At 34.5% G+C, this 22,417-nt stretch overlaps 1 protein-coding gene across 7 annotated transcripts in view; it reads right to left on the bottom strand.

The window, feature by feature from the left end:
- Nucleotides 1-22,417, bottom strand: part of GLS (glutaminase) — an 84,732-nt gene that overhangs the window by 11,089 nt on the left and 51,226 nt on the right. For 5 of the 7 annotated variants that reach the window (NM_014905.5, NM_001437282.1, XM_047443957.1 and 2 more), the window contains one exon: nt 838-899. In NM_014905.5, coding sequence (NP_055720.3) covers nt 838-899 — 62 coding nt within the window. Of the gene's footprint in view, nt 1-837; nt 900-19,174; nt 21,808-22,417 lie in introns of those variants that run through there. The other 2 variants (NM_001437283.1, NM_001256310.2) reach the window with 2 other exon arrangements.

Below are 22,417 nucleotides of genomic sequence, written 5' to 3'. Positions count from 1 at the left end.
AATGGGAACTACCGACCTTATTAACCAGTACACAGGTGTTTTGGGTAGATGCCACTTCACCTCTCTTCCTCAGCTTTGCTTTTTTTTAGGTAAGATTAAATGTTAACCATCTCTCACAGAATTAAACTTTATTACATTATTGTTCGCAACTTAAGAATTATGGCACAACTGTGTACCAAGGTTTATGTCTCATAAGGGCAAGAAACTAATCCCTATAGTAAAGTTGTATGTTTTACTAAGACTCCCATTCTTAAACATTTCACAGTCTACTAGTACTTGTCAGACTTCAAAACAAGGGGGGGAAGCACAGACATTTTTCCACTTTGAAAATCAGTTATTTGAGGTATTAATGGGAGAAAAAAAAAAGAAAATAAGTTACAACTCTACACAAAAGACCTTAGGTATACAGCAGTATATGGCCTTACTAATCCTGATGATCTGCCAGACACCAAACCCCCCAGCTGCTTCACACACACACACACACACACACACACACACACACACACACACACATATCAAAGATTGGGAATGGAGGGTAGACAGGGAGTGAGAAGGCACTGTCCAATTCCAGTAAGCCACTGGTACTAATTAGCCAGATTAGCTGAACAGTTACTACTTGGGGAAACAGAGATATGGTCTTTTTTATAGGAGGCAGAAAAGGACAAGATTGGAAAGCAGGCCTAAGGCACTGGAAGTGCCTATTTAATAAAAATTTTGTTGGGGTCATTTTTATCAAAGGGAAAGAAAAGTGAGACTTTAACCTTAAAATGGCTGCTCGCCCAGAAGCAACTTCATAAATATCTGTAAAGTGCATGCTAATCCATCCTGTAAACATACCTTCGAAGTGCAGACACATCTCCAGTATATGCAGCAAACAAAAGATTTATCACTGACTTTACCTGTGAAGAAAAGAAAGTTTAGGCATCCTTAGGAGAGAGAAAACACATACAACGTCCACCTGTCACTGGCAAGTGATTTCCATGTGCTTTGAACACTTCAGCTGAGTCACGTGCAAAAAGTGATCTCAAGGACACTTCCATAGCCAAAAGAACCCACGTGTGTGATACTTTCTTCTTTTAACAGTGGATTGTGAGGGAAAATTCAATAATAAAGATAAGATACACAAGGGAAGGAATGGAATAATATCACTTGGCAGAAGAGAATGGAATTTTGTGAAACTCATACAGTTGGGGCAACTGAAAATTGTTTAGAAGCCTTCCCATTTTCTATGTCTCAATATTGTGAGGAAGTCTGTATGCTGATAAAATTCACATTATTAAAAATTAAATCATGCTATATAAATGTCTAATCCCTGCCAAGAATCACTATCCTCACCAATCACTGGCTTCTTTGCAAATCTTAAGAGAGAACATTCAGTGTTAACTGTCATCTTAAACTTTACTTCACTGGAAAGACAGCCTTCAGTTCAATGCCCAGGTGGTACAAATTGGGTCATTCTCAGAACTTATGACACTGCTGTGTTTAAAAGTTTCTCAACTCCAAAATATTAAGTCACCTCTATTAAGTGCTCCAAGATTTCAAAGTGTATCTACTTTTGACAGTTACCCACTTTCCTTTTCTTATAGTTAAGAGGAAAAGTCTAGTTATTTGAAAAGCCATTGGATTTTGGTCTGCTTTCATAAAGACTTTATCCATCCCTATCTATGAGAAATTAAACTATTGACCATAGAATATTTGTAAATACTTCATAAATTCCCCATTTTGTCTTACACTTTGCAACTTCAACATTCATATTGATGACTCAACTGATACTGGACTCAATGGTAGAAAACAAGTTTAACTGGGGAATGGAAAGTAACCCAGCTCTCCACCAACAAAGCCACAGCCTGGAACTGTGCTTCAAGATCTTAACCCGGACATTCTCCCTTTCCAGTATGGCTTCCCCCTTCCAAAACCCATGAACCTTCCAAATTAACTGGAACTGATCATTGCTGCAGTTCTCTAATTCATCATTTTCAAAGTGTAATTTGCAGAAACTAGTCCGTAAGATGGCCCATGAAAATAAGGATCCTGTGTTTGTATATGATCTTAAAATATTCAATCCCCCTCTTGGAGATTCATGAGCATATGAAAGACTCTGTAAAGGTCTGCAGTACAGGAACTTAACTAGCTGAGCACACCCCCAAAATACTACTATTACTATTTGTGTTGATACCACTTCAAAAAACTTTCCACTTAGTCCTTTAGCTTCCCTTCCAGCCATCCTTTTCTATTCCTGCCCAGAGTCCAGAACAGTTTTCTTAATGGGGAATGGGGGTGGAACAAAGAACTGAAGAACATCACCCAGAATGTTCTAAAAACATACATAAACATCTCTCCCATTTCTTGTTGTCCTACTCCTACACCTCAATCCGATACATTTTAGGGAAAGGAGGTAAATGCATAGAGTTTGTTGTTTTTTATAGAGATGGGGTCTCACTATGTTGGCCAGGCTGGTCTTGAACTCCGGGCCTTAAGCAATCCTTCTGCCTTGGCCTCCCAAACTGTTGGGATTACAGGCATGAGCCAACATGCTCAGCCCATAATTTTGTTTAAAGTCTCCAGGTGACTTTGATATGCACTTTTCTGGGTTATAAACCACTGTTTCAGGTGTCCTTAATGTCTTTCTTTTTTAATGGGGTCAACTCTGAATTCTCAATTCCCTTTTTGCTCTTGGACCACAGAATACTGACTGGCTATTACAGATTATTCTCCATATTTCCACCTGGTCTCTCATTACTGCTTGACAATTTTTTTTTCTTGTTGGTTCCCGCCATACTTTCTTCAGGCCTTTAATACCAGTGGAGACCCCTAAAAACAGACAGAAGATCCTAACTACAACTTTGCTAAAAAGATAAAAACTGTTTTCATCGCTCAAAGTAAAAAGCTTCCTCATTTTTGAGACTACTTTTTATCTATTCCTTCAAACACTTATCCTCTAGATGCCCTGTTCTTGTTCCCTCACTGATCCCCTTTGTTTCTAGCATCTTTAACTTTTCCTCTTTCATTGGTTCTCTCAGTTTACCTTAAAACAGACACAATTTCATCCTATTTTTAAAAAGCAACACTTGACCCTATTGTTCTCCCTTCAGCGCTTATTTCCTGAAAGTATATTTTTAATTCCCTGAAAATTACCTTCACACTCATTGTTACCTCTAAACAGCGCTCTCCAAAGCTCCAGCAGCTTCCTAAGCCCTGATTCCTTCAGATCCCCCCAGCACCCTCCACCCTCTCACGACTTGCCTTCCATGCTGCTCCATCACCCTAATCTTCCTCCTGTTTGCTGCTTTGCAGATTCATTACCCACTTTCCACTGCCAAATACTACTCCCAAGGCAGTCCAATCTTCTTGTTTTTCAATATAATGTCCCTCAAAGAATTCATCTATTCCTCTGGGCACACTGACTTCCCCATCTTTAATCTAAATCTTTCTCCTAAGCTCCAGTCCTACAGCTCCACTTGATAGTCACTTCAAACTCAAAAACAGCAACAGTCCTGCCGGCTTCTCACCCTGGCTCCAGTTCATAGCCATCTGCCTACTTGACATTGCTTCCAGGACTTTTAATGGGCATCTCAGACTTATACCCAAAATGGAATTTGCTTTGCCCTGTCTTCTGCCACTCACAGTCAGCTCCTCTTCTAGTCTCCCCAGTTTGGGGATGACACTACAATTCACCCACTTGCTCAGGCCACAAACTCAGGAGTCATCCAGTGCTGCTGCATTCACTTATGCAGGTTGAGTCCTTCACAAGGATGCCTGGCCACAGGGCCAACACGGGTTACCAGCCCACGCTCTTCCCACCAAGGTGTCCTAGCACCCAGGTACATGTGCTGGGAGGAAGGGAGCTTCTTTACCCAGTGGTGCTGAGAAGTGCTTCTGCTTCTGGCCAGAGACAGAATTAGCTTTTTCTAATTCAGACAAATTCACCATACAGACCATGGGGGGTAGTCCTTGATTCTATTCTTTCTCTCACAGCCCACATCTAGCTCATCAATAAATCCTCTTTCCTGCAAAATATGTTTGGAATCCTATCACTTCTCACCACCTCTATCACTATTGCCTTAGGCCTCATCTGAACCACCACCTTATCACCTCTGCTGCCATAGGGATCTTTTAAAAACATCAAGGAACTCCCGTGCCTTTCCATCATATCTAAAGGAAAATCAAACTCTTTACCATGGCTTTCAGGACCCTAAAGGCTCTATTCCTGGTTACACTGCACATATCATTCCTACCACTCTTCCCTTTCCAGCTCTACTCCATTCAGAACATCTGGCTGGTCTCAGGCACTCAAGGCCTACAACTGGCTGCTAGAGATGCTCTTTCCCCAGGCTGTCAGGAGGCTCCCTCTCCCCCTCCCTTTGGGTAGGTCTCCATTCAAATGTTCTCTCAAGACTCTAAAACACTCCCCTCTTTTCATCACTCCTTATCCCTTACCTTGCTTTTCCCCTTCATATATATATATATATTGTATTGTTAACTATATCCTTTTTAACTATATTTGTTATATATAACTATATATAAAGTATATATATTTTTATATATACTTGTTTTTTGTCTCTCTCATTAAATATAGGCTCCATGTGGGCAGAGACCACTTGTCTTTCTGTTCCCCACCGTAAACTCAGTGTCTATCACACATAATAGGTGCTCATTAAATATCTATTGACTAAGTGAATATTCTCCCTCAAGGCATCAAATATTCAATTTTGGGTATTAAATTGCAAAATTAATTCCTCTATCGGCCCCCAACCCTGCATTTTATTTTTTTTGAGACAAGGTCTCGCTCTGTCACCCAGGCTGGAGTGCAGTGGCAAGATCTCGGCTCATACAACCTTCGCCTCTCGGGTTCAAGTGATTCTCCCACCTCAGCCTCTGGAGTAGCTGGGATTACAGGCATGTGCCACCACTAATCTAATTTTTGTAGTTTTTGGTAGAGACGGGGTTTCACTAGGTTGGCCAGGCTGGTCCCAAACTCCCGACCTCAAGCGATCTGCCTGCCTCAGCCTCCCAAAGTGTAGGGATTACAGGTGTGAGCCCCTGTGCCCAGCCCATCTACCTTAACTTTTACATCTTTGAATATCATTACAAGATTTATTCAATCATTAACTGATGCCTCTGCTTCTGGTCCTTCTTCCACCCTCCAAAACCTCTCCACATACTTCTAATCATATTCTCAAAACATTGCTCTAATCACTACAGGTTTCTAAGCAGCGGAGTATCAAGAAACCCAAAATCATTCCTGATAACATTTAAGTTCTTCAGCCTTGTATTCAAGGTTCTTCAGTCCAGCTAACTTAATTTTTCTTCTCAACCTCAATAGAGCAAAATTGGTCTTACTGCCCTTGTTTTTGTCTTGGTGTCTATGCTCTTAAGAACACCCAGATTCCTAATCAAATCCTTCCCTTCCCTCAAAGACTAGCCCGAAAGTCCCTTCCTTGCTGTCAGTCTTCCCCAGGCCATCCCAGCCCAGCATTCATTATCTATGTAGCTTATTGCCAGCTGCCCACACAGTGCCCTGTGACAGCATGTGCTAGGGACAGAGTCAATTAGATACCTCCACTCCCACCACAACCCTGGATCTACCTCCTGCTTCCTCCCACAGTGCATACTATTCTCCTGAAATCATTTTTCCCCACCCATTTCTCACTGATATGTTATTCTTACCCATTCCTGTGAACTCTGCTCCAATCTCTTAAATCAAAAGTAATCTCCGTCTACCTTTGCTGCACTATGGCACTATAACACATGACCACATGGAGCATTTGTGTGTCTTACTTCCCCCACCACTAAGAAAAATCCAAATTCCCCTGTATATACCATTAATATATTAATTACCCAGTTATTATTTTTAAAACTATGTTGGTACTTCTAAGCAATAAAGCCTCATCTGTTTCAGTGACTGGATATAAGAACTACACATTCCCCTTTAAAATTTTGAATTTAGACCATGCTCGTTTGAAGAGATTTTATTATAGTATGTGTGTAGCACTTAGTCACTTCATTATTCAACATTTCAAACGTTCTAAAAGTCCATTTCTTATTAATAAGGCCCAAAATAGAAGATTTTAGAATATACTTGGTTTATTCAGAGTATATTGTTATTCAAAAGCATGAGAAAAAAAAATCAGGAAACTTTAATGTACAAAGGCTTTGTAACTAATCAGAAGGGAAAAACACTAGCTCGCCTTAACAAAATTATTAAAGACTAACATGGAAGTTTGGTATTCTTCCCATGAAAACAAAAGGCTAGCTATGGAGCTGGATTTAGTCCAAACCAGAAGATAGGTGCTTGAACACAAAGTGAGTGTAATTCTCTCCAAAACAGAAAAGCACTAGGAGGCAGCCCATGCACAGGCACTATTTAAAAGCAAAACCACAAATTCCTCTTCTTTCTAGCATCAACAGCCCCCTATACTTTTAAGTTTACATAAATTATGAAATGAGCTGTGGGTAGAATGCCACAAAAGAAAATGAAACTAGTTTAACACTTTTGAGACAACAGATGGAGTATTTCATTTAGGGACAGTCTGCTTCCTGGTCTGTTAAAGAGCGCCACGAGTATTTCCAACTAAGCTGACACACCCTCTGGAATGCCTATCATAGCAAACAAACTGAAGGAGAGGGGCACTCTAGAAGATCAGTCATCCACCTCCACACCAATACTTGCAAAGGATGTAGGTGTGCTAACCATTGATCAAAGCTCATTCCCCTATTTCCCCACTGGATACTTGAGTTACATTGATTTTAAAATACCTGTCAAGGAGGCCAAAGTCCAGAAAATAATGGGTTAACAGTAAATGCCAGAGGCATGGAAGCTATGTTTTGATAAATAATTCCTTACTATAAAGAAACAGACTATACACAGCCGCAATAATAGCTATTAAATTAAGGGCTCTGATGTTTAATGTATACCTCCCCATGGCAAAGAGACACTGCACCTGGGCAGAGAGCCATTAAAATTTATAAATTAACTGTTAACAGTTTCCCCTTCATCTTGTAGATTTTCCAGCACTACTGCATTTTTCTTATCAAGTCTCTTTATCAGAATCTGCCCGAACCAGACAATCTTATCTTAGTTTATTTGTACAAAGTCATGACAACAGTGGGACAAAAAATGTTACAGTTCACATGAGTTCACTTAACACTGGCATGCTTGGCATAGCAAATCTCACTTTTTTCCAAAACAGCTAGAAGCAGGTGGGGAGTGTATCAGTTTTACACATCTAAAACATGGCATTCCTAAGTCTTTAATCCTATCATTATCCTACTCAGTTTGAGCTTGTTTAAAGGTTGAGTTGTGTGACTTCTGTAAATGCCCTAATAATTCTGTACTTATGAGTAAGTAGCAATTATTAGAATTATATACTCACATTACTCTGTATTTATATAGTGGATGACCCTAAAACATTCAACATTTTAAACAGTTATAGTTGTTTTTAAAAATCCCTGACAGGCTGGTTATAAAATATGTTGATAGATATATTTTATTTATTACTACCACTGAGATTAAGGACCCTGGCTCAAGGTCACACAGCATATGAATTAGTGATGGAGCTTGAGTAGAACTCAGGTATCTGGATTCCCAATTCTGTACAACTAGACCATGATGATGTGAGTCCTTAATAGATCTCAGATTGTTATCCAAAGCACAGAAGGAAACCAACGGATTAAATATCAATTTAGCTCTAATCCATAAAAGTTCTTTACTCAATATTGGAAGGAAGCCTAGATGGGACCAAAGCGGGAGGGGAGAAAAGGAAGAAAGGGAGAAGATGGAGGGAGGGAGAGACGGAGGAAAAATTGGTTCACTGGTTTTACACTTTACTTCAACTATTTAATTTCTAACTCCATTACCAACTGCCAAACCAAAATTTCCTCTGTTTTTCATCTTTAGTTTCTGTCTTCATATAAACATGAATTCAGCCTGTTTGGAACTGCTATAATGAAAAAAAAAAGCAGGTAACTGAAAAAACATCCTTCTGTTTCTACCACCTCTAGTTTGAGATAAGCTGCTCTCATTTCCAGCTCAGTACAGTATCTGTTGTCATGGAATAGATACTTTTCTTCAACTGTTAAATAAACCATCATGACTCCAGATCCAATTTTGTTTTAAAGGCTTCACTCCAACTTGGCAGATTATAGTCTTTAAATGAAAATAAGCTTTCAGCCTGCTTTTATATTTTCTTAAGGTCAAATTGAGGCATACTACCTATTATACTGTGGCTAAAGAAAAATTTTAAGTTGCCATCATATGTAAATTAATCACCTTGCCCAAGGGTAAAAGTAAACCTGTGTATTGTGTATGTGATTGAAGATATTTCCTCTTTCCTTTACTACTGAGCTTATTTAATATTTTTAAGGATGTGTAAAAAAAAATTATACTACTTTTGTAATTAGACAGTCTGAGTATGAGGCCACATATTCCTAAGCTTTCCAAAGATTTACTGAGACACAGTTATTAATATACTATATATAGACAAAACTAATCCAAACTGATATGATTCGGAGGGTTGGGGAAAAAATCTTTTATAGGAATAGCAATTCAATAAATTCATGCCCATATTTCCAAACTTACACAAATGCAGGAGGTTCTCATATAGTAATTTCAATAGAGAGGAATAAATCAAATAGCAAATTTTACTATAAAGGAAAGAAGCTCTGTTTTACAGAAATTTCACTTTAAAAATACAACCTCAAAATGGTACCTCCAAGAACTGCATTCTGTTCTTGACTTTGCTAAGTAATAAACTCCCTTAAAAGCATACAATTTTCAATTTTTTTTTCTTTTTTTTTTTTGAGACAGGCTCTCGCTCTGTTGCCTAGACTGGAGTGCCGTGCTGCAATCATGGCTCACTGCAGCCTTGACCTCCCAAGCTCAACTGATCCTCCCAACTCAGCCTCCTGAACAGCTGGGACCACAAGCATGTGCCACCAAACCTGGATGATTTCTTTGTTATTTTTTTGTAGAGACGGGGTCTCACTATGTTGCCCAGGCTGGTCTCAAACTACTGGGCTCAAGCAATCCTCCTGACACCCTCCCAAAGTGCTGGGATTACATGTGTGAGCCACCATGCCTAGCCTCAAAATTTTTCAATGACCAGTTTAATCTGAAATAATTTCACTCATTTGTAAACTAAAAAGTCATAATCATGTCAAAAAATCTGACAACCTATGAAGACAAAAAATTAAAGATTATATATTACTTACAACAAAATAGTTAATATGAAGCACCTACTCTCTCGACTCAGCTAAGTGCTCCAAATGTTATTTCTGTTATTAAAGGACAGGAAACATTTAAACAACTTCAGCAAGGTATCAGAGCTGGTAAGTGGAAGAACAAGGGCTCAAACCCAGTCTGGAAGATGCCAGGGCCAGTGCTTGCAACTACTATCTACTGGGTCAAGCAATTTCCTAACAAAACCTGGGACTTCCTCAATAATACAATACCAAGACAGAAATATGTTGTGATAGGAAATCAGAAAATAGCAACAAAGAAACAATTTATAGAAAAATCAGAGATATTAATTTTATATTGAGGTGCTACCCAAAGGTGTTTTTTAAATGAAGGGAAAATAAAAGAACAAAAGAAATAATTCAATTTGATAATATCACAAATGACAAATAGAAAAAGTTATTACCTTTATTCTTTGCATTTAAAACTTTAAAAATGAAATGTGAGTTGGGTGAATGTGAATAAAAGCAAATATGACTGTTACGCTACTGGCAGCAAATAAATAACTTCTTTTCTCAGTGGCATATTATTCCAGTAAACACCAATGAATGGTCTAAAAAGATACCAATGAGGTCATAAGCATCCCTCTTTATATATCCAATTATAAAAGTAGCTAACAATATATCTTTGTGTGGTCTGAAAAACAGCACTCCTAATCAATAAGCCAGAAAGCAGAAGAGAAGAAAAATAGCAATGAGCAAAGACAAAGACAGCTACTCCTCCAAAGAACAAAACTGCAGACCTTAAGCATATCTGTATTGCACAGACAACTATCAAAGTTTCTCATTCACTATCTTTCTGGTCTTCTCCCACTATTATACAAACAAGTTTTTGTAAAAGTTCATGAACATTAGTGAATATTACATTAGTGTGTTAGGATAGAGGACAAGGTTCCACATTTCTGGAATGATAAAGTGCTATATTTAAAAAACAAGTACATAAAACCCAAAAGTCAAAGAACTTAAAAGCGAATTTAAGACAGGAAGAGAAGACATTCATCACCAAATACACATATTAAACAAAAAAAAAAAATCCAGGCCATTGGAATCAAACTATTCTTACAAAGACACCATTTTGTGTAAATTAAAAATAAATAAATACAAACAAGGTCCCTGAAAATAGATGAGGTTCTCTTCCTGCTGTGAAACAACACGGTTTTAGCATTCATACAGGAAGAATTATGGTTTCAATTCAGAGTTTAAGGTCCTATTTCTCTTAGCATGCCTCAAATCCTGCTACTATAACAAAGCCAGGCACATGGACTTGAGTTTTCTATAGTTATTCCAACCCACAATACTAACACAATCTTTACTAATTGCTTTAATGTTAGAAAAGAAATCCCTCATTTTCACTGGTCTCCAGAGCCTTACTTAACTCCCTATATTCTTCAATGTTTATTTCACATTTCTATTGTGAAACGTTCAACATGTGTGCTTTATGGAGCATACTCACAGAAGAGGTGTAATAACAGTATGTTTCTCTAATGCTGTAACTTTTCAAAGCACTTTCATAGCCACTTTATTATTCAAATTACATAGCAGGCTCCTCCAACATATAATACAGAAAATTGCTGGAGAAAAGCATATTTTAAGACACTAAAAAATAAAGCAATTGTTCTATCTAAAAAAAATTTAGAAAGGACATCATGTAAATATAAAACCCTCATCTTACTAAATTATCTATGCTTTCATACAGTTCAATGCTCCAAACTCCTTAAAATACTCTTTCCTTGACTGCTGATATTGCACTATGCTGGATTTTCTCTTCTCTGGCCACCTTTCCCTAGTGGAAGCCTCTCCTACTCTATCTTACCTTTAAAATGATGGTTTCTTAGGGTTCTGTCTTTGATACACTTTCCTTATCACTTTATACTATCACCTTAAGCAATCTCACACACCACCCCAGCTTCAAATACTACTCTTCATACTGACCACTCACAAAATTATAGCTCCAACTTACACTGCTCTAAGTTTTAGGCCTAAATCTGACTGCTTACTCAACATCACTACTTAGATATCTCACAAATATCTCAAACATTAGCTAGCTTCTACATACTGATAGTTGTCTAACCATTATCCACTACCCACCCCTTCCATACTAACAGAACCTCTATTTGTTAAAGGTAGTATTGTGTCCAATTAAAAACACTTTCCCAGATTCCCTTGCAGTTAGTCTGGTCAATGAGCGTCAGGTGAGTTTCCAGTAAAGCTTCTTTCTTTAGATTTAGATATCACTCTTTTCTTTTTCTCCCACTTTGGCCATACAGGTGAGGCTAAAGATGAAACAGCCACCTTGCAACTCTAAGTTGATAGGCGTGATTTCTAAGATCAACACACTTAAGGCTTGTGTAACAGAAGTTTACCTTACTAATGGCACTAGCCCTGGTTGGTTTCCCTGATAGTCCCTGAGACTTTCTGTTATATTAGAAAAATAACCCCCATATGTTTAAAGCACTGTCAATCAACCTCCTGATATCCACAATCAAACAGATCCTTCATTGTTACAATAGCCAAAGTTAAACTAATTTCTTCCCATACTCCCAAGGTTTGCTTTTCCAGTGTTCTCCATCTTAGTTAATGCAGCAGCTTTGGCCCTGTTGCTCATACTAAAAACCTGGTAGTCAGCTTGATATCGCATTCCTTTTCACCCACCAAAAACGATCACCAAGTGCTGCCAATCCTATTTCTTAAACACATCTCTTATTTACCTATTTCTCTCACCTCTAGTCCAAGCCACCAACACATCTCGAGTCCAAAACTTCAACTTTCTCTCTCTTTAATCCATTCTCCGCAGAGCAGTATTTAAAAACCAAATCATTCTCTCCCCTTTTTTAAAGTCTTCAAAGTTTCAGCCGGGTGTGGTGGCTCACGCCTGTAATCCCAGCATTTTGGGAGACCGAGGCGGGCGGATCACGAGGTCAGGAGATCGAGACCATCTTGGCTAACATGGTGAAACCCCGTCTCTACTAAAAAATACAAAAAATTAGCCAGGCGTGGAGGCAGGCCCCTGTAATCCCAGCTACTCGGGAGGCTGAGGCAGGAGAATGGTGTGAACCCGGGAGGCGGAGCTTGCAGTGAGCCAAGATCACTCCACTGCACTCCAGCCTGGGAGACAGAGCAAGACTCCGTCTCAAAAAAAAAAAAAAAAAAAAAAAAAAAAAAGTCTTCAAAGTTTCACACTAAACTCTGAATAAAGTCCAAAATTCTTAATATAGCATATAAGACCTTTCAGAAATGTCTCCCAAACTGTGTCCTGAGGACAACCTACAGCAGAAGCACCTGGGGTGCACATTAAACATTTAGATTTTTGAATCCAACTGTAGGAATGGGCCCCAGGAAGCTAGCTGTATTTTAAAATTAAGACACTCTAACAATTCTGATGTACATCGAAATATGAGAAGGCCCACTCTACATAATATGGCCCCATCTCTTAGGAGTCATCCACAGCCAATCTCCATCCACCTCACCTCACTCTTCTTCAGCGCATTTGCCTTCTTCTTTCCCCTTCTCAAATGTGCTAAACTCCTTCCTGTTCTGGGGCCTTCAAGTCAGACTAGCCTATTAACACTATTCCATATTTCCTCTGACTCCTTCAAAACTTACACACTGTATTACCTTCCAGTGAAAACCAACCATATTTAACCACCCAGACAAAACAAGTTCTTATTGTACCCTCTCCTAGCATTTTTTTACTTTTCTATCATTATCATTATATTTGCTGAAATATTTTTTAAAGAAATGAAACATTAAAGATACAGCTAACCATGCTCTCTGCATCCATTCCATTCCCTCCTGGCAGTAAGCTTTATCTAAAGATTGGTGTTCATGTTCTTATAGTTTTATTAGTAACTACATTGCATATTTGTGTCTCATAAAGTTTATTATAGATGTACAAAAATAGCATCATATGGCATATACCATTTTGTAACTTATTTTGTAACATTTAAAATGAATTAGATCTACATGCATCAGTATTAACAAATCACTTATTACCATTTTAATTATTTTCAGTATTTATTCAGTACCTGTATCCCTGCTTAATTGCAAACACAAGTTGGATCATACTTGTCTCATTAACCACTCACTGCATATCCTAAACACTTCACGGTTTCTGGCACATATTAGGCAAGAAATAAACATTAGTTGAATAAGAACCTATCAGTGAATAATAAAGCACAGGAATAATGCTAAGGTTAATTTATATAGATCTGAATTGCACAATCAAATTTAATTAGCTAAATATCTTGAAATAATTCTGTTTGTGTGCTGTTTGAACAAAAACTAGTGAAATGCTGAGGGGGATGGTAATCTTTTTTAGTTCTTACTTGGTAGAAAAAAAGACCAAAAGAAAATAATTTTAAAGGTTATACATTTTCATTTATATAGAGGGATCTAATCTTGGATATTGGTTGGGTACCAGAAATGAAGAGAAGAAAACAACATGAGGAGAACAAAATTCCTATTTAGAAGGCATTAAAAAAAAAAAAAAGTTTGCTAACTAAGTAAAACAGGGATTGAAAATATTGAAATGGAAACCAGGAAGCCAGAAGAATCCTGGACTTCAGCCACTTTCTTAAGGTCACACAAGTGGGAAAGCAACTTCATAAAAGCAATGAGTTATCTGACTACAAATTTACACTTATTACAAAAGCAATTCTAGAAGAGAAGCAGAGCAACTTAAAGTGGGTACGTCTACAATAAAACTGCTAATTTGCCAGAATAAGGGCATTCAGATAGGTGGAAGTTATTTTTTTGGTTATCCTTTAACAGCAGAATTGTTTCTTCATAGTCCAGTAAAAAGAGACATTAAGGCAGAAATATTTTATTGGTATGATTAAAAAGGATTAATAGTATTAGTCACCATAGAATGTTAACAAAATCACTTGTACTGTAATTTCATCAGATGTCAATGAAGTTTCATTGTGCATTAGATGCAACGTTTATTCATCTCAATTCAAATATTCATCTCAAACAGTATTATTTAGTTCATTCTTTATTTACATTATAAATCTTGTGCATAGACCTGGATCAATGATGCATATACTTCAAGGATCTAAGTAAAATAATAAATAAAGAATAAGCTATATTATACTGAAGAAGAGAAATTTGGACTTTTACATTTCATGTGTGGTTTTCTTTCGAACTTTTTAAAGAAAATTAAACTACAATGGCAAATGTCAACATCAAAAGATTTGGAAGTGAACATATATAAAGATACGGAACTGAAAACCCATTTCCTGAGTAACTTTGATATAATTTTTTAAATTACCTCATTTTGGCCCAAAATAAATTATAATATGAAACAATAAAAAATAGAATATTTGAAATTTAGATAATATATTCTGAGTTTTTCAACTAAAATCTTTAATTTGGAATGACTGTGAGAAAGAACAAAACAACAGAACTTGGGTGGAATTCAATTAATAATTTATACCATGATTTTAGGTATCAATCTCATTTAATAGAAGAAAGTCAAGCCTTAAGGATTAAGCTTTAAGCTGTCCTCTCAAAAGAATCTTTGAAATTGCCCTTTTGTGATGATTTGTGAAATAACACAATATAAAACATATATAAACACATATAACACATATAAAATAACAAAAATTTATAATTCTCATCTAGATCTAAAAAGTTCAGCAAGAGACTGATTATCATAATTGAAAGTTGAATTTTACAATAAAATGGTTCAAATGTGAGTAGTTACATTTGTGTAACTGATACTAATATTTCATCATTTTTATTTTGGAATGCATAATATAAAAGCAAGCAGACTTTATATTGAATGAGTTTATACTGAAACTTGTAGGGAGAAGAGCTACTCAGGCAGTTTAAATTTTCAGAATTAAGAAACCAATACTATAATATTTTGAGAGCAACAATATTTAAGTTTTAACATTTTGTAAGTCAACAAAGCCTTTCAAAAGTTAACATATTTCAAGAACTCAATACACACAGTCCTTCATAAATATTAAAACTCCAGAACTATGAAATGGAGATTGATACTGAAGACAACATGTACTATAGACAGAGTAAATAAACAGACAAATTAGGAAACTTGGGGGCCACTCACAGATCCAAATGTCTAAAATAAACAAGGGAAGTAGCTAGATATTTTGCATGTTTTCCAAGAGCTAACATGCAAAGAAAACAAATTTTTCTTAAGAAACCATTTGTTTAGAACTTGACTAGTCTTCTATTTATTTAAAATCGTTTTACTTATATATTTAATCTAACCTCAAAGGAATTTATTTTAAAAAGCCAGTGATGTAACATTTATTTTTAGATTTACATTTCTGCTACAGTTTTCTTTCAAAGATTGCAGGGTAATGTTTTATTTTTAGAACTACTGTGTAACTTTAACATTTACTTCTAACTTTACTAATTTTTAACAACTGGGACATAAGACTGCTTACTAGAAAAATACAATTAGTTTTAATAAATGCTGATGGTACCATCTGCCAAATAACTTATAGTCACATTAACTACTGCCAATTATGCTTCTCTCATTAAAACTAAACCACAAACAGAAACATCTACAAACAGAAAGTCCATCCTAACAAAACACAAAACAGACCAACCCCCTCAAGAGAAAAAAATCTAAATATGCTAATAGAAAAAGCAAAGTGCTAGGAAACCTGGAAAAGGGGGCTGAGTGGGGTGGGAGTCTGTACCAGGTAACATTTAAGATTACTTTCAAATTCAAATCTGTGATTCTAAAAAATATATAAGATTATGGTAAATAAAAGTACATCAAAATTCTAGAAAGGTTGGACTATGTTTTAAAAACAAAAGAAAGCCTTCGGCTGTTTTACAGAATATAAATTTAATTATAGCTCAGGATTCCAAATATAATTGCTGTGCAGAGGAGATTTTCATTATATAAACATAAATCACCAGAAACATAATATGAAAATAGAAATTTAAAAACTACTTTGGGTAAGAATTTTTTCTTTCAAAAGCTAAGCCTTCCAAATAGATAATTTTAATTATCTGTGGTTTTAAGGCCTGAAAGTGTTTCAGCAAGGTAAATACCTAATGAAAAAATACCATTATTTTTAATCATACTATGTACAGAAAAATCATATCCTCAGATATTGAAATATGGCTTAAAAATAAATACAATGAATTATTCTTTGCCATTGAGATGTGGTATATAATTTTTCTTTAAAAAAATTCCATAATTAGTAAATGAGATTTAGAGTTAAATGTATAGTAAAAATGTTACAAGATTAACCGACAGAAGCAGTTGGCACCAGCTCACCTGTTTCTAACGCTTGCCTTTTGAGGGCAAGATTATAACTTTTGTTTTAAAGCAATACATGATGGTTTTCAATAATAAGTATTCTGTAATTTACTGGTGAATGAAATTTACAAAAAAAAAAAAAAAAACCCACAGATTCCGCCAAAAAAGCAATGCAATCCAAGTGCTAATTAGTATCCTATTCATTTTGGTTAAGGGTTAATGGATCAGGAAGCCATTATAAAGTTTTTTATGAAAACAGGTTTTCTATACATGGCATATTTAAAAAATCTCTATTAGCTACAACTTACAAAAATTACTAAAGTAGATCTACAATCTACAAAATAGAAATGGCAAACAAAGTCAACTTAAATTCTCTTCCTCTCCTATGTTCATAAAATAGAAAACATTTTAAGACCATAGTAACAGAATCACTTTGTTAAATAAGCATTTATAATCAGTCTACTTAACATACTATTTTAAAAATAAGTACCTTTTCTATTACTATTTAAAAAGTTAAGAACTCTACGAAACATCACATTTTGCCCGCTGTTTCATGTTGGATAAATATTGCCTCAGATCCTCTTAGAGTAGTTTTCTAAATTTCTCAAAGTCATGTGCATTTTATGGTATTCAGATTAATAAACTACTAGCTGGAGGTTGGGGTATAAAATAAAAGAACTTCCCCCAACCCAATTAAATTCCTTCCATTTCTAATTAAATTCCTTCCATTTCTAAGCAATGTTAACAAACAAAGGTTTTTAACTTTGTTACAATTTGAAATAAAAGAAAAATAGTTGAACTTGGATATACTTGAGTGTATGTTTATGTATAATTTTGCCCTTGAACTACATGACAGAGAAAAGACCGAGTAAGGTAAAGTCCATTCTCAGTAAGTCTAAATGAAAATCTGAGCATAAGGCCATCATGCATGGTAACAAATTTCCATTTATGCTACATCTCCAACATCTGGTTTTGGTTTTATTACACAATGCAAATACAACATTAAATATAAAATGGTAGAGAAGTAATTGAGAAGAAATCACACGTTAAGTATTCTGATCGTATACCTTTAAAAAATGCTTTCTAGCATTTTCAAGGCCATGTAGGAGAAAAACCAAACTTTTTACAGATGAATAGTAAAACAGATTCTTAAAACTAAAAACTGTACCACAGTAACTAAATAAAACTGTTCCATAAACTGCTCAATATAAGTGCATTACTTCTTTTAAGTCAAAAACAATTTAAAAAATACAATCCTTCCTTATAATACATTTTGGAAAGTGCTTTAAATTCCACATGAAATCTAATATTCTTGGTTTCACTTTTCCAGAGTTCCCCCAATATTGTTAGTTACTCTCTTACCCTGGCAGTCCTGGTAGTGAATGGGAATGGTAACAGAAACCACAAATCTTTAAAGTCAAATTGAAGAAGTAAAGTATGTTATACTTTACCAATTCTAGGGCAGCAAAAATTTTAGGGGTTCTTTTGTGTCAAAGCTTGGAACAGGAATAGATCAATGAATAATTTATACATAGTACACAATGTGAAAAGAACTGCTCATCATTTTCAGAATATGAATGGGTAGATTAAGGTACATAGATAAGGAAATCATATATATGTATGCACAAACGTATATACATATGCACAAACATATGCAACCCACACATTATATATAAATTATCAGGATATAGGCTGACATATCAGTATATTTCAGCAGTTCTTTCCACATAAATATATGCCTATTAAATATACACTGTCAGATCAAGATCACCAGGTATTTTAAGTCTCCTCTCTCTTTACTTCAAATAAATTTTTTAAAAAAATCTTTAAAAGCAAGTAATCATAAACTGTTACATATATTGAATATATCATTATACTGGAACTCCTTATTAACTAATTCTAAAAGAACTTCATTTAAAAATCCCACAGATTAATACAAATTCATGTAAACAACAGTATTTCCCCTTTCAAATAGTTTTAAAACTTCTACAATATATTCAGGAATCTCCAGAATATGAATGGCAGATTTAATTAAACATAAAAATGTAAAGTACTATATTTGACCTACAATACATGGAGCCTCTATAATTTGTACTATAATTTGGATCATGCTGTGGAAATATACAAAATTCCTTCTGAAAATGTAATCCCCTCAGAAACCAGTTAAGGTGAATTTCTGTATCACTGTCATTCTGTTTAATATAAATTCTACTGAGATTAACAGTTTTATTCTAAAGCAATATGATGATACTCTTCATTTGGTTTAGCAATGTTTTTCCTATTATTTAGGCAACAACAGATAAAATGAGAGTTACATAGTGAATAACAACAATATTCCTCCTCAGAAAGCAGAAATAACCTACAAATAGGGTTGCACTTTTTTTAAAGTTACCAAATGGAAAAACCACCAAAAAAATTGAGAGAAAAGTTTTTATTCAAATACTTCTAGTACAACCAATAAGAAAAGTCCTCCTCCCAAAAAAACCACTAATGCTATATTGCATTTTAAAAAATCAAATAAAGCCCTTTTGAATATTTCTAGTTTACTTTGAGGCAGCTTCAGAATAGCAAACACTTTAACAGTATCTTCATAAAGAATAATTTTTTCTAAGTTAAAATCCCAACTGTATTTGTACTTAAAATGTTGAAGTTGCTTTTATAAAAACAAAACAAAACAAAACAAAAAAAACAATAAAATCAGCTTAAAATAAATTTATTGTGCAATACAAAATGTAGGCATACTGGAAAATAAAGGTACATTATTAAATATACAAAGCAAATGAAAGCTAAACAACACAAATGTTTTCATCCAAACACTAAGATAAAATGCACAACATTTATGCTAAAAACAAAGTACTTCAAGAACAATATGCATTTCAAATGAAATGTTAATGATGCCAAAAAAAGAAAGAAAAAAGAAAATCAAATATGCTACATTGTAAATGCTTGAATATCAAGAATCAATAATGGCATAAAACAAACCCAATAATAGTGGGTACTATCAAGAACTTTGTTTAAAAAGGTGTTAAGAATACTGAAAGAATCAAAATATGTCCTTAAAACTGGCAAAGTTTTTTCTTTTTTAAGTTTGAGGGCCTATTCGCAGTATCTTATCTCTTCTTCCGTTTATACTTTTCTATAAAAATTTCTGCTCATTCTTAACATTTTCTAAACACAGTAGCTTAGATAACAGTACTTCATTTTTAAGTATGCATTTAAAGCATTACCAACACAAAAATAGTAAGTGACACAAATTAACAACCTAATTTTGAAATCTATACAGCTATGTATACGATATGAAAACTAAATCTTCATTTAATAAAGTAAAACCAACTTCGGAATGAAATGGTAAAATGTAACAATTTAGATCATAGGGGAAACCACAATGCCTTTTTTCCAATTAAGGCATTCGGTTGCCCAAACTACAAATGGCCCTGGTGCAACTAACATAAATATGCAACACAAATATGCAGTAAGGCCTTGAGAAGCATCCAGTTAGGATATGCATCTGAACATTCAAAGAACATTCAAGTAAGCATAAAATCCTTGGGAAAATCCTCTACAACTTAAAATATAATTATTTAAATATATAAATTTAATACTTAAGTTAGCCCAAAAGGCTTTTTGGCCAGCACCTCTAGAAGGGAATTTCTTTTCTTAATATCACAGTTCCCAAACTTAAGACATTATGATCAAGATTTTCTATCTTTATTTGCACTAGTATCTAAAATACTCAGTGAAATCTTTTTTGCTACACTATATTTACTTTTACAGACTTTCCATTACCACATACATACACCATCATGCTAAGAAACCACCAAGTTTTTCTTCTAATCCCCCACTAAAATTAACAGGTTTCAACAAACTTGAAATTATAGGGGAACTATGGGGAAAACCAGAGAAGTATATGGAAGAAGGAAGAAGTGTGAATAGGTCCTACAGAATTTTACAATCACTTTGCCAAGACAACTATAAATACTATGAATAATTACTTGAAATCAGGTTGTGTAGAATCTATAGTTCTCTTAAAAACAAGTTTTGATTCTCAATATTGCATTTTTATACCAAATAAAAGGATTTAGATCTAACGTATTTTAGTAGCATACTTACTACCTGCAGACTAAATTCATTTCTCAAGTACTCTAAAAAACTTCAAATAGAACAAACTTTATGAGATGCTATAACTTATCACAAAAGAAATATTAGCATTTATAAAATTAAGATAATAAAATGTAAAAGCTAAAAACCAAAATTTGCCATTCATATTTAAATATAACATAGAAAAAGTTATGTGGATAATATGAAAATAAAATTGTTTAGGTGAACAATTCACTTGAAGACACTCACTGTTTCTCCTTCTGAGTAACTAACCATTATAGCTTTTTATTGATGAAACATCATTATCTCACATCTGAAATTCTTTGGCTGGAATGTTTTAGTAACATAAGACACTCCTGTATATAACAACTCTGACAGAACAGAGGAGTTGCAAAATAAAAAAAGTAGGAGTCATATTTTAAAGCATTTGATAAATTTTTAAATAAATTTTTTAAAATGTAAAGCCAATCTATCACCAAAAATGGCATAAATGTAAACACAAGCTAATTTTATAATCCACTGCTATTTTAAATAAAATAATTTGGGGTTCATTATTTTGCCTTTTTAGTTTTGTATTTAGCATAGAAGTACCTTCTATTGCCACTAAAGACATCACATTAGTTTTAAAAATGGAAAAGAAAAAACAAAATGCAACAAAACTTATGAGTTTAATTTGTGAATTTTAGAACTAAGAATTACAATTTTCTGTTACTATTGTAAAATGGGATTATCTGACCACATAGTTAACATTTTAATTACATCAAAAAAAATTTAAATTTTTCCTTTTTGTATTTTTAAAAATAAAGCAAATTTATGTACTTGTAAATACTTTTTAAAGACCAACAAATGCACTTCTTAATCTACTGCCTTTATACAAAGATTAAAAGGAAAAAAAAGCTTTATGGCTCCAGCACCCAAGATTGAGAACAAAAAATACCTCAAATAAATATTTATAACTTGCAAAAAAAAGCTAAAGATGTTTGAAAGATTAAATGAAGAAACATTCTGAAACTAGAACCCATTTCTTTAGCTTTTCTCTCCCAGACTTTCCATTCTATATACTACAGTTGTAGAGATGTCCTCATTTGACTCAGGTGACACTTTTTTCCATACTGTCTCTTTTAAAGCAAGTTCTTGTTGGAGACTTTCATAGTCCAATGGTCCAAAGGAATGCTAGTTGTTCAAGCAACATACATAATTTATTAGTGCACTTGAGTGAAGAAAGGTCCAAGCTATAAAATGGTATTTTTCAATGAGCATTATTAAAATGTTAACATTTTAAACCACCACCTCTGACATTTTGCTTCATGTTACTCAGGTCGACTCCCATGGAAGTTTCTATTCTGTTGGTTTTGCATAATTCTTACATAGTAACAGAAATTAATTTGATAAAAACTAACAAAAATTTAGTTTAGCACTACAGAAAATGTACTTAGTATGTATTAAAAATATTTTCTACTTAGAAGTTCTTCATATTATCTTGAGGTCTAATTAGGTAATTTTACTACAAACATTTTCAATATGGTACGCAAAGAAACTGAATCAAAATTCTCAGCACAAGCCCCTTGGTACAGTGAAAAACTATATAGACCAAAAAAGTTAAGTCCTGACTCTTAATACTACTTCTAAAAAAAGGAATATATGTGTACAATAGTATGAAGCCAAATAAACTCGTAACAAACAAATAGGACCGTAAGATTATTAGGAATATTGCATTAAACACGGTGGAAAAAAATATTTCATCTACAGTGACTTATAAAACTTTTGAGGCTTCATACGGTCTCTCACTAATATGATAATCCTTTTCCATTTACATATCCATCTACACAGTATGCAAGAAGT

This window comes from Homo sapiens, chromosome 2 (assembly GCF_000001405.40).
Source record: "Homo sapiens chromosome 2, GRCh38.p14 Primary Assembly".
Taxonomy (NCBI): Eukaryota; Metazoa; Chordata; class Mammalia; order Primates; family Hominidae; genus Homo; species Homo sapiens.
The sequence above is the reverse complement of the archived record's forward strand: the minus strand, read 5'-3'. Positions and strand labels throughout refer to the sequence as shown.